We start from the raw sequence: 13,464 nt of genomic DNA, 5'->3' as shown, positions 1-13,464 counted from the left end.
GAAATGGTACATAGATAAAGGTTAGCAAATAAAGACAGCTTCTCCTCTTTCTAATATATAATCTTACTATTTTCTGAAAATTACAGTTGATTAAAATTTAAAATTTTATCTCCCCTTTCTCTCTTATCTGGTGGAATTTTAGGGTGCACATTGCATACAGTTTAAAAATTTTTTAGAATGGTTGAAAACAATCTCTTTTTTTTTAAAGAGAAAAAATTGCATTGCTGGCTGGTGTTTTTAAAAGTTGTATATAGGCCGGATGCGGTGGCTCACATCTGTAATCCCTGCACTTTGGGAGTCCAAGGCGGGAGGATCATGAGGTTGGGAGATCGAGACCATCCTGGCCAACGTGGTGAAACCCCGTCTCTACTAATATACAAAACATTAGCCAGGGGTGGTGACGTGTGCCTGTAATCCTAGCTACTTAGGAGGCTGAGGCAGGGGATGGCTTGAACCCGAGAAGTTGAGGTTCTAGTTAGCCAAGATTATGCCACTGCACTCCAGCCTGGTGACAGAGCAGGACTCCATCTCAAAAATAAAAGTTGTGTATATTAAATAAAAATTAAAAAATAAATCAGAGCTTAAACAGGTTTAAATTTTAAATAAATAAATTACAGCATACCATGAATATAAGAGTCTGAATGGGAGGTCTAAAATTATTTTACATTAAAAACTGAATTTACCTTCCTGGAAGAAAAAAACATTTCTAGGGCTATTTTATGGTAAAGTAGTTTCAGAACTGGTTGGAAGGAAATAGGGGATTTGCCAAAATGAAAGGCATTTTTTAATTGCTGAAAACATGCTCCGTTGCTACCAAGATTTGAGGCGATTTGAGCCCCTTTGAAATTTGGTTTTGTTTTCACAGAGACACTTTTATGCATCTGCAAATTAAGTGTCATTAAAAAAATATTCTGTTGGCCAATGGGTAGACGACCTGCCCTGCCCCATGGCCACCCGGGAAGGGTCTGTAGTCATGTGGTGTTTTTTTCAAGGTCTCGTCGGTGGAGTTGTCCTTTCATTGATCTTCTTATTTATATATTTTCAGCAAAACTGTGTGTGCATTTTCAGAAGTGTGGGTTTGGGGAGATAAACGCATAGCTTTCATATTCTGAATGGGATGTACAACTCCCCCAGTGTTAAGGACAGAATTGGCTGCCATAAATTGCCACTAGAGGGCACGCATCCGCCAACAGAGGTGCAAGAACCTGCCCCCAAGGGCCCAGCAATGCAAGGACACCCAAAGCCGGCTTCGCATAGCAGAGCCCAAACCCACTACCCTCGCTCTCACCTCGCAGCTCCGCAGAATCTGTTCTTTCTCAATGCTCTGCCATCTCCTGCCATCCAAAGGTCCTCGCCTATCCTGACCCCATCCTGTGCCCCTGGAGGTCCCGTCAGCTCCATGCCTCCTGTGCGACAGCCGTGATCCTTCCTGTGCTCCCATGCCTGTTTTCTCCAGCGCACCTGGCACTGGGGCAGAGGCAGCCTCTCCAGCCAAGAGCTCCAGACGCCCGTTGGAGATCCCCACACGTGGAAGGCGTGTTTTGGTAGAAAATGAAGCATTCACCCTTCGCTATTAAGCACAGCAGAAAGATGCTGCCAGGCTCTGAAAATTCACATGAAAGCCTTTAAAAAAACTGAGCTCCTTTTATGAGAATGAAACTCACCTCTTTTAGGCATTGATGGTTTGATCCATAATTAATTAGGGGACTTGTATCTTGCTCCAGAAAAAACATAAGTGGCCAGATGTCAGTGTGCTGTTCCTGAAAAGTTAGCATATATGCAGGTGCTCCTTTTAATACAGAAGAATTGGGAGTTGTAGTGTCAGTGCTAGGCAGAGAGTAGAACAGCATGCAGAGAAACTTCTGCCTGGCCTCTGTGTCCCTTCACTGAGGTGGTCAAGCTCTTTAGTTCTGGTTCTCCCATGGGCTGGACAAACCCAGTGTTCCAGGCCAAGTCCAAGCAGATACCGAAGATCAGCTCGTGGCCTCTGAAAGTTTCTTAGTGTCAGTCGCTGAGATGCTTTCCCTGGGAGCCAGAGGCTCCCTCCTCTCCAAACTTTGAATTTAAAATTATTGGCTCCCTAAGGACCCCCACCCAAAGTATGGCTGCAGTTGCCTGTTGATGAGTCAGACTCTGTCATTGTTGGGTAGATGAGATAAAGAAGCTCATTTCTTTTGCCTTTCCCATTGATGCTGGGCACCCCATGGCCCTACTGTGTCTGCACCTGTGAGGGCGGCCACGTGAGTCTGCTCATGCAGGGACTGCCACACCCACAGCCTCCAAAGCCCTCAGCACCTTTTGCTGGATTCTCATTTTATATCAAGCCATGGGCATCGAGTAGGTCCCCCACAGTACAGTCCTGTTCCTTTGCTGAGTGGGTCAGAAGAAACCAGCCACCTTCCAAGCAACATGATGACAATTTGGAATTCTTCCAAAACACTGTGCCTGGGCTGCTTTCGTTCTGAGAGGGAGCGCCTCATCCATCTGGTGAAACATGGGCAGAGGCTGTGAGCGGGGGAATGCTGTGATAGGGTGGAAGCCTACCAGTCCTGCTCTTAGCCTGTAGTCTAGAGTTGGCAGGCCTCTGTAAAGGGTCAGATAGTAAATGTCTTAAGCTTAGCAGTCTCTGCCACAATAATTCAACTCTAGCAATGTAGCATGGAAGTGGCCATGGGTGATATGCAAATGTAAGGATAGTGTGTATGTTATGGTAAAACTTTATTTATAAAAATAGGTGGCAGACCCATTGGGCCGTAGCTCTAAGCCACTCTAATGGGAGATTAACTCTACAGAAAAATGGCCAATAAAGCAACCTTCTCACAATAAAGACTCAGAGCCAGGAATAAAAGAGACAGACATCTGTTTTTAACTCTCTTAAATCCTTATGTGGGCTCTTGTCACCCCTAAAAGCCTCTGAAGTCCTAATAGATTGCTGAATGAGATGTCTTATGCAGACAGCCTTCTCCCAGGGCAGGAAAACATAGTCACCATCTGGCACAGACCAGAGCCCATGCCTCATGCACATCTGTAGATGCTCAGATTTTGTCTATTAGGGTGAGCCTGTGGGGAGCGGGATTCTTCATACAACAGGCTGTTTTCCCCATAGAATATTTGCAAGAGAGACACTTTTTTCCCCTCCCTCCTTAACTGCATTGCAAAATGTATGTTCCATGGAAAATTCTCCAACTAACACTTAATCAAACGGCCCAACTGGCCACTTTTCCTCTCAGCTGGCCTCCAGCTTTGAAGATAATCACTGGCACCTGGCCTGGGAGTCTGGAGCTCAGACGCGGGTTGGGAAATTCTCCTGTCATGGCTGCTACAGCTTGGGAGTCCTAGGATGTCTGCTGTCTGAACTTCCAGTGTCACCAATTAGATACCTAACGATTTTATTTGGTTGTCGCAGTGATTAAAACAGTGGGCCAAGTATTGTAGATGAATTAGGTCTTGCCTCCTCCAGTATTGCTGTGTGGTCGAATGATGGGATCCTTGTCGCTGTCTTTGCTGAGCGCAGCATGCTCCAGTGAAGTCAGCCTTGGCTGGAACCTGAGCGTGGGGCCGCAGCTGAGGCACTTCAGCATTTGTTGAGGAATGGACAAGACAGACCTGCCGTTGATGGTCTGTTGAACCGCTCCCCGTCTCACTATTCCATGAGTCCTTCCAGGATCACTCAGATGGATGGAGGGTTGTGTCTAAAAATGATAATGGCTGCTTAAACTATGGCAATAACTTGTATGTACATATATTTTCTTCCAAGAAGTAAAATCTGCTTTATAGATGGTATTTCAATAATCTTCCTCCTTTTTCTTTGGAATTTTAAATGATGTGGCCTATAAAACTGGAAAGGCAGCAAAACAATAATTTGCTTTGATAAAAATTTCAATATTATTGTTTCCCTTTTCTTGAGGAATTCTTTTTTTTTTTTGATAAATTGCAGTTTCTTTGGGCACCAATAGTGTAAGACTGTCATCATTTCTCTTATGTGAAAATAATAGACTTTGTCTATTTTTACTTCCTCTATTCAGTCAACCCAAATTTTCTTTTTTTCCCCTTTTCTCACATTTCTTTACCTATTTCTAGAGCTTTCTGATCAATGTTGATTGACCAGTCTCCAACATTTCCTATGAAATGGAAGAAGAAAGTCAATAGCCTCTTGTTTCAAGTCTACACTCCTTTGCCCAGTTCTCTTCTTCTTTTTCTTCTTCTTCTTCTTCTTTTTTTTTTTTTTTTTTTTTTTTTTAGACAGAGTCTCCCTCTGTTGCCCATGCTGGAGTGTGCAGTGGTGCGATCTCGGCTCACTGCAACCTGCGCCTCCCGTGTTCAGGCAATTATCCTGCCTCAGCCTACTGAGTAGCTGGGATTTCAGACACCCGCCACCATGCCTGGATAATTTTTGCATTTTTAGTAGAGGTGGGGTTTGCCATGTTGGTCAGGCTGGTCTTGAACTCCTGGCCTCAACTGATCTGGCCACCTCAGCCTCCCAAAGTGCTGGGAATAAAGGCAAGAGCCACTGCGCCCAGCCGCTTATTCTTTTTTTCTCTTTCTCTCTCCTTCTTTTCCTTCAAATGGTTCAAAAATGCAGTCATTAAAACATTAATCTCTGCCTCCTACCTGATTCCCACAGCCCCACTTCTAAGACAATCATGACGAAGAATTTGCTGTGTCTTTCAGATATTTTCCCACACATGCACACGCAGTCCTGTGTCGCCCTCTAAAGAAGCAATAAATGGCATGCTGTTGTCAGTGCTCTGAGCTCTGACTTTCCACTCAATGCTCTGTCTTGAGGATGGTTCCCAGGCAGCACAGGGGGGCCTACCTCACCCTCTCTCTTGGCTCCCAGCTGGCTTCCAGAGCACCATAATCAGCTCCATCTTTCCCTCCTGAACATTACCCTCATGGTCCTCAGCATCCTTGAGTGTGTTGGGCTGGTTTTCTCCTGTTCTTCAAGGTTTTGTGTTTATTCCTACTCTGATGTCTTAGCCACATTTCCTCTTCCCCTGTTTGGCACCTTTAATCCAGTGCATGAGTTGTCCAGCTCCAGCCCTGTCCCTTTATAAGGCCATCAGGGCTGTGCTAGGCAGGTGGTACTCCCCAGGAACGCAATTAGGGCTTACAGTGGCCACTTTAAACCAGCACTCAAAATGTTTCCTTCGCTTCCTCTTGTTTTCCCTGGGCAGAGCCTTAAGTCCTTATGACAAATTGGATCATTGTCCACATGGATCATGGGCAGGGACATCAACAATCTTGTTCCTTCAAAGTACTGAGCACAGTGCCAGGAACGAATTTTGTTTCATGAATCCTCAGAGGGATGGCCATGTCTACCAGCCTTCCCTTGTAGATTGTGAGTGTTTTTAGGGAAGGGGCTCTGGCCTGCTTTTGCCCAGGCCACCCGGATCCCAAGGCATGCTCCAGATGCTTACCCCAAATAAACTGAGTCTCACTTTTATTGATCTCTTTGTTAATCTTTTATTTATTGTCATTTTAAAAAGTCTGAAGCCATGGTTTTATTTTACTCTGTGTTAGGATTTTCCCAGGTTGCTCATAAAATTCTAACATTTTTGTAATCGTTGACTTAGACAACATTGCATCAGATACAGGCATTTTTTCATGTCCATTAAAAGACATACCAAGATCAGAATCGAGAGCAATTCAAGATGCACAATTTTAGAGAAGGAAGAGACTTCAGCATCATTTCACACAGTTTTGTTTTATAGATGGGGCCCTGTAAGTCAGAGAGCCCCAGCTTGATGGAGATGAGAATTCAGGCCTTGCCGTCCAGGCTGTGTGCTCTATTTGGTCACTCTGCTGTCTCTGTTCAGCTCATTCTTGACCCCCCGCCCACTGTGTACTAAGACTCTCTAATTTCCATCATGTAATGGGGCCTCCTCCATCTCTTCCTTCTCAGAAGGCAGAAGCATTTGCAAGCATTTCAGCAGATGGAATTCATTGGTTAGGCATTGGTGGCTTTCTTGGTTAGGAGGGAGTAATGCTGCTTGGTAGTTCTGCTGCAGATCAAAGTCCAAAACATCACTTGGAAAGCCTCCCATTGCTGTTTGAAAGTTCTGCCTCTTGAGATAATTTTCTTGATGTCATTTTTCTTTAGAGAATCCTTCAGTCCCAGGGAAACAAACCTTGAGAGGCTATAGTTTAGCCAAATGATAAAGAGCTGGCATATTCTAAATAAATTAATTTGCTGTCTCCACTTAAGGTGAGTCCTCTTGAGTTTCCTTCACCCTGTCGGTGGGTGCTGAGGGTTTGTGATCATTCTCATGTGAAGGAAGAATCTTTTTCTCATGCAAGTTTATATTCCAGCTTTCAAAGACAAAAAAATCTCTGAATAAAAACAGTGATAGAATATTTTTTTTGGCAGACAAGGCCCCATTGAAGTGGAAATTTGAGTGTCAGGACTAAGGAATAATTAAAGATGTGTATGAGATGATTGCAACTGGTAGATGAAATGTGGGAAAAAAGGATAAAAATATATTTGGAAAGACAGAGGTAACAAACATGTCTCTTTATTTTCTAATCAATGTTTGCATTCACAAAATGTTTTAGAGGAAATGAAGTATAATACAACAAATATTATTAAATGCTGCCAGAACTCTTTCTTAAGGACAATAACAGCTAATATGTACTCTCTAAGTACATAGCAGTTTAATAAATGTTTGCTGATCCCATTTCAGAAGTGGTGCAACAAACTTTATTAAACTCCCTGTGCTTTTACTAATCTTTTAGAGACACTTTTTTTTTCAGTATGATCTCTTAGGTACCATAAGATGCAACTGTAAGCATAAACTCATAGACACAAATAATAACTATTAGAATATTGGTTCTTTTTTACAGCTTGAAAGGTTATTCTAATTTTCTGTTGAAGGACTGAATGAATTAGAAAAAGGAGGTAATTCGAGATATCTAGATAACTATTGTCTATAGAGGACTGGAGAAAGAATGCTAATTTATTTTCTTGTTTAGACATGTAGATGGCAAACAATTTGTATCCAAATTGTATGTCAATATTTAAGATGTCTCAAATCAACATTAGTGTTATCTAGTTTTGGGGATGCTATGTGACTAAAGATGCTGATTGCATGAACGAAGGTATTTGCTTTCACCTGTTGATGAAGTGTGACTGCTTCACAAGCCATATGCATGTAACAAAGGTCTAGTGTTATAAACGTCCCTCCCCTTGTTGCTGTTAGATTCGGCTGGAATTAATGCTGTATCTCTGGACTGCCACTGAAAATATAACTCCTGAAAGATGGATTATTTTGTTATGGCAACACAATTGCTATTCGGTCCCTAGTAGATCTAGGAAAGACATTGATAGTTACCACTGAATCATAAAAAATGGGAAATCTTTGCTATTGAGGTCACAGATCAGGACCTTTCCCATTCTTCTATTCTCTAGTGACTCTCTTTTTCTCTGTCTTGTCCACTTTAGCACAGAAATTATATCTTTTCCGTGGGATAAGGAAACTTATCTTTACTATGGAGTAAGGACACTTTAGGGAACGTGCTAAATGCAGCTCAGCAGTGAGCTTGACACAGATTTGGAATATTAAACCTTTTGGATCAGTGCCTCTCATACCTGCACACTCCATTTCCACATGGTGGCAGCTGCAACCCTAGAAATGGGAAAGCAAGTGCCAGTCAGCAGGACAGGAGGGAGGCAACCTCAGAATTTAGAAGCTTGTGTGATAGTCATGAACCTCCTTCTAGAACAATCCCATCGTGAGGAAAGTTGGTATTGTTGTGCTAAATTTTCATGGTGGACCTGTCTGGAATTTTAGGAGTGTAATCTTCTCATTTCCTTTAGAAAAAAAAAAAAAGCCAGCTAGAAAGGGAGGATGCACCATGCTAAAAATTACCTAATGAAACCGAATGCAACTGAGAAAAATACTTGGACTTGGTTGTTTCAACAACCTGTTCTTCCCTTGTGAAATAAAATCAGCCACACTGCTGTGTAGAATGTAATAAAGATGGGGAGTGTCCTGCTTTTAACAGTGTGCTGGGAGAATGTGTTTCTGTGCCAGTCCCTGTAAGGTTATGTGATATGCTAAGTTTTGCAAGCCTGGTTCCTTTCCTGGCAAGGGAAAACCGATAAGATAAGGGAAAACCATTTTGCTATGGACTTGCCCCAAGATGCATTCATAATGTCACAGCTCCCTTAGTCTAGCTGGGCCTCGCTGGGGCTGCCTCAAGCTGTTGGCCATTCTGTTATCTGGTCCACTCTGCTATTTTGTTATGGCAACACAATTGCTATTCGGTCCCTGGTAGATCTAGGACAGACATTGATAGTTACCACTGAGGCATAAAAAATGGGAAATCTTTGCTATCGAGATCACAGATCAGGACCTTTCCCATTCTTCTCTTCTCCAGTGACTCTCTTTTTCTCTCTGTCTTGTCCACTTTAGCACAGAAATTATATCTTTTCTGCAGGATGAGGAAACTTATCTCTACTATAGAGTAAGGACACTTTAAGGAACATGCTAAATGCAACTCAGCAGTGAGCTTGACACAGATTTGGAACGCCGTTAGTTTCAGTGTGATTTGCAGGCCCAGAAAAATAACAACAGCTTCGCATTCTGCAGTCTAAGTTACAGAGGTTTTCCTGGTAGAAGTGGATATTTGAGGTCAGGAGTAAGAGTTTTAATTAAAAATGCTTTTTAAAAACACTTTTATGTATACAATTAGAAATGTATAAAATTTAGAAAAAGACATAAATACAAAAAATACCTCTTTCATAATGGTTTCACTTCTCTTGTTTTGAAGCATGCGAAGTAAAAAGTGAAACTCTCTTTTCTTTCCCTCTGATCCTGAAAGTAACCACAGCTGGCAGTTGAACAGCCATCACCCCACCTGTTCCCTAGGCCTCCGTGTCCCACTGGACATATATGCGAAGATCTAGTTTTATAGTATTTTAGTATGTTGGATCATACTATGCATATCATTTGACAGCATCTCTTTTTACTTAAGTTTTGACATGTATATTTTTCCAAGTCAGTTCATATAAATCTACTGTGTATATGTATATGCTAAAAGTTACTAAGTCTCATACTTTTGATGAATCTGCAGGTTAATTTTGAGAAGGGTACATTATAAATAACAAACATTTAGACCATAGAGATCATCTATTTCTCTTTCTATAAATGAGGAAATTGAAACCCAGAAAGGCTGAATGACTCCCATAATTAATAGAGAATCATCAACAGAATACACGTATATTTCCTGCTTTCTATTACCTTATGTGTTTAGGCATGAGAACTCAATCTGTGTTACAAAAAACACAAGGATCTGGGCCGGGCGTGGTGGCTCACACCTGTAATCCCAGTACTTTGGGAGGCCAAGGCAGGCAGATCACAAGGTCAGGAGATCGAGACCATCCTGGCTAACACGGTGAAACCCCGTCTCTACTAAAAATACAAAAAATTAGCTGGGCGTGGTGGCGGGTGCCTGTAGTCCCAGCTACTCGGGAGGCTGAGGCAGGAGAATGGCGTGAACCCGGGAGGCGGAGCTTGCAGTGAGCCGAGATCTCGCCACTGCACTCCAGCCTGGGCCACAGAGCAAGACTCCGTCTCAAAATAAATAAATAAATAAATAAATAAATAAATAAAAGGATCTGAGAGAGCTCGTGGGAGGCTAGAGAGGCAAAGAAGCCTTCATCATTCACTCCTTCACTGAGGTTCTATTCTAGTTGCTAGGGACACATCACGCAAGAAAACAGAAAACAACCTCTACCCTCAGGAAGCTCACAGTTCAGTGGCATGGGCAGGAGGCAGATATAAACAAAACAAGTAAATAACATACGTTATATTGGAAAGTGATAAAATCCATGGAGAAAAATTAAGGAAGAGATAGGTGGGGTAGGTGGGCAATATTGTAATTTTAAGTGAGGGGGTTATTCAGAGAAGCCCTCATTGATAAGGTGACTTAAAATAACTTGAGGTGTATTGACATACAAAATACACGGATTTGAAGTGAACTCTTTTGACAAATGTGTACACTCAAGAAGCAGTCACCACAATCAAGATAAGGAACATTTCCACCACTCTCAGTAGTTTCCTCATCCCCCTTGGTAACCCATCTCACTTATCTCCCTGTCTCCCCCCCACAGCAACCGTTGATGTGCTTCTTGTCACTATATAGCAGCAGGAATTTTCTAGATACTAATATAAATGAAATCTTATGAGACGTACTTTTTTGGGAGGGATATGGCTTCTTTCACTCAGCATAATTATTTTGAGTTTCAACCCTCTCATTGAGTGTTTCAATAATAGTTTATTCTTTTTTATTGCTGAGTAGAATTTCATTATCTATTAACCTTTTGATGGACATGTAGATTGTTCCTAGTTTTCAGCTGTTCTAAACAAAGCTGCTATGAATATTTGCGTACATGTCTTTGTGTGGACATGTGCTTTGTTTGTCCTGGATGAAGCCTAGGAATGAAACGATTGTGTGATACAGTAGCTACGAGTTTAACACTTCTAAGAAATTGCCAAGCTCTTTTCTTTTATTTCTTTTTTGAGACAGGTCTCACTCTGTTGTCCAGGCTGGAGTGCAGTGGTGAAATCTTGGCTCACTGTAGCCTCAACCTCCCAGGCTCCATCTATCCTCCCACCTCAGCCTCCAGAGTAGCTTGGCCTACAGGCATGTGCCAACATGCCTGGCTAATTAAAATTTTTCTTTTTTTTTTTTTTGTAGAGACAGGGTCTCACTATGTTGCCCAGATTGGTCTCAAACTCTTGGGCTCCAGTGATCCTCCCACCTCGGCCTCCAAAGTGCTGGGATTATAGGTATGAGTCACTGTGCCCAGCCTCCAAAATCTCTTCTAAAGTGGCTATAATATTGCTGATTCCCACCAGCAGTCCATGAAGTCTCAATTGCTGTAAATCCTCATTAATGCTTGAGGTGATTAGTCTTTTTAATTTTAGACATTTTCAAATGTATGTAGTGGGATCTTATCGAGGTTTTAATTTGCATTTCCCTAATGAATATTGATATTGAATATCTTTTCATGTGCTTGTTTGCCTTCTTATATATTTTTTTGATGATCTCTCTATTAAGATCTTTTGCCATGTTTAAACACTAGGGTTGTTTTCCCTTGCAGAGTTTTGAGAGTTCTTTAAATGTTCTGAATACCTTTAGTACGTCTTTTATCAGAAAAGTAATTTGCAAATAATTTCTCCTAGTCTATGGCTTATCTTTTCATTCCCTTAGAAGTGTCTTTTGAGAGTTCTTAAGTTTGACAAAATCCAATTGACTATATTTCTAAGGCTTTTGTTGTTGGTAAGAAATTGTTGTCTAGCCCTCAGATTACAGATTTTCCCTTATGTTTTTTTCTGAAAGTTTTATAGTTTAATGTTTTGCATTTATCATCTTTTTTGACTAATTTTTGTGTATGGTGTGAATTATGAATTACGACTCTAAAATTCATAATAGTGTCCAATTGTTTCAGCATCATTTGTTGAAGACACCATTCTTTCTCCATTGACTTGATTTTGTAACTTTGTGGAAAATAAATTGGCCCAGCACAAATGGGTTTATTCTGTGACTCTGTTCTGTTCTGTTTGTCTTTATGTCTATCAGTTCACGAATGCAAGACTCTCTTGGTTATTGTAGCTTTGTAATAATCTTGATATCAGGTAATGTAAGTCCTCTCACTATATTCTTTTTCAAAGTTATTGTTGGAATTAGGTACTCTAAGTTGTTTGCATTCCACGTGAATTTTTGAGTCATCTTGTTAATTTCTACAGAAATCCCTGCTTATTGATACTGAGTCTTTTGATCTATGAAGATGGTATATGCCTCCACTTATGTAGGTCTTCTTTAATTTTCTGTCAGCAATATTTTCTAGTTTTCAGTGTATAAGTATTTTACATTTTTCTCAGATTTATTTCAAAGTAACTTTTGTTTTCTGATTCTGTTGTAAATGGGATTTCTTAAAAAGTTTAAATTTCTCATTGTTAGTTAACATGTAGAAATACAATTGACTTTATATATCTTATATTCAGCAACATTGCTAAGCTCCCCTATTTGTTCTCATGACTTTTATTTTTTTGAGATTCCATGGGATTTTTTAAATAGACAATCATGTTTTCTGTGAATAAAGAATGTTTCTCCTTTTCAATCTAGACACATTTTATTTCTTTGTCTTGCTTTATTGTACAGGGTAGAAATTCTAGTACAAAGTTGGATATGAGTGGTGAGAATGGGTATCTTTGCCTTATTCCTGATCTTACTGGGAAGCCATACAGTCTTTCACCATAAACTGACATTCTTATTACGTTTATGAATTACGTTGGATATAGGTTTTTAAAATAAATACCCTTTATCAGGTTAAGAAAGTTTTCTTTTATTTCTAATTTATGAGAGTTTTATCAATAACACTTTGTATTTTTTCAAAAATTTTTTCTAAATCTATAGACATAATTGTTTTTTTCTATGAATTATTACCTTATTTTGTTATAATATAATGAATTATATTGATAGATTTTTAATGTTAAAACAGTCTTGCATTCTTGAAATAAACCATACTTGGTCATGACGTATTTATGTATTTTTGGACTTGATTTGCTGAAATTTTGTTTATAATTTTAAATCTATACTCATCTGAAATACTGGTCTGTATTTTCTTTATAAGGTCTTTGTCTAGTTTTGTTATCAAATTAATGCTGGCCTCATAGAATGAGTTAGGAAGTATCCCTCCCTCTTTAATTTTATTGAAAAATTTGTGTGCAGTTGGTATTATTTCTTCCTTAAATATTTGGTAGCCTTTGGCCAGGCACGGTGGCTCACACCTGTAATCCCAGCACTTTGGGAGGCCGAGGCAGGCGGATCACAAGGTCAGGAGATTGAGACCATCCTGGCTAACACGGTGAAACCCTGTCTCTACTAAAAATACAAAAAATTAGGCAGGCGTGGTGGCGGGCACCTATAGTCCCAGCTACTTGGGAGGCTGAGGCAGGAGAATGGCGTGAACCCGGGAGGTGGAGCTTGCAGTGAGCCAAGATCGCGCCACTGCACTCCAGCCTGGGTGACAGAGCGAGACTCTATCTCAGAAAAAAAAAAAAATTTGGTAGCCTTTGTGTGTGTGAAGGGTTTGAACTATAATTCCTGCTTTCAAATAGATACAGGACTATACAAGGTTACTTATTTTTCTTTAGTGAATTTTGGTAGTTCTCATTTCTTAACAGATTTGGCCATTTCATCCAAGTTATCACATTCATTATTATTTATTGTTTGGAGACAAACCTGATTCTAACTGATACAAAATTTGATTTCTGGCATTGTAAATGGCTCGTCACTACTTTTAGCACCAAGTTGACTATGAGATATGAACAGTACACTGGGCATGATAAGGAATGGATGAGTCAGTCCTACAATAACATTTTAAAGTAAAAGACGACTCAAGGGAACTTGATATAGTTATCCAAGTAGTGCATAACTAGTTAGACCAAAGCGAGA

The 13,464-nt window shown here is 40.5% G+C and overlaps 1 annotated feature.

The window, feature by feature from the left end:
- Positions 902-1,402: an enhancer, noted in NCBI's record as "H3K4me1 hESC enhancer chr18:11519045-11519545 (GRCh37/hg19 assembly coordinates)". NCBI's record gives its function as "activates a minimal SCP1, AML or CMV promoter by ChIP-STARR-seq in naive H9 embryonic stem cells {active_cell/tissue: H9 hESC(naive)}" and the evidence as "EXISTENCE:reporter gene assay evidence [ECO:0000049][PMID:30033119]".

The sequence above is a fragment of the Homo sapiens genome, chromosome 18, assembly GCF_000001405.40.
Source record: "Homo sapiens chromosome 18, GRCh38.p14 Primary Assembly".
Classification (NCBI taxonomy): domain Eukaryota; kingdom Metazoa; phylum Chordata; class Mammalia; order Primates; family Hominidae; genus Homo; species Homo sapiens.
This window is presented reverse-complemented; position numbering and strand designations above follow the sequence as displayed.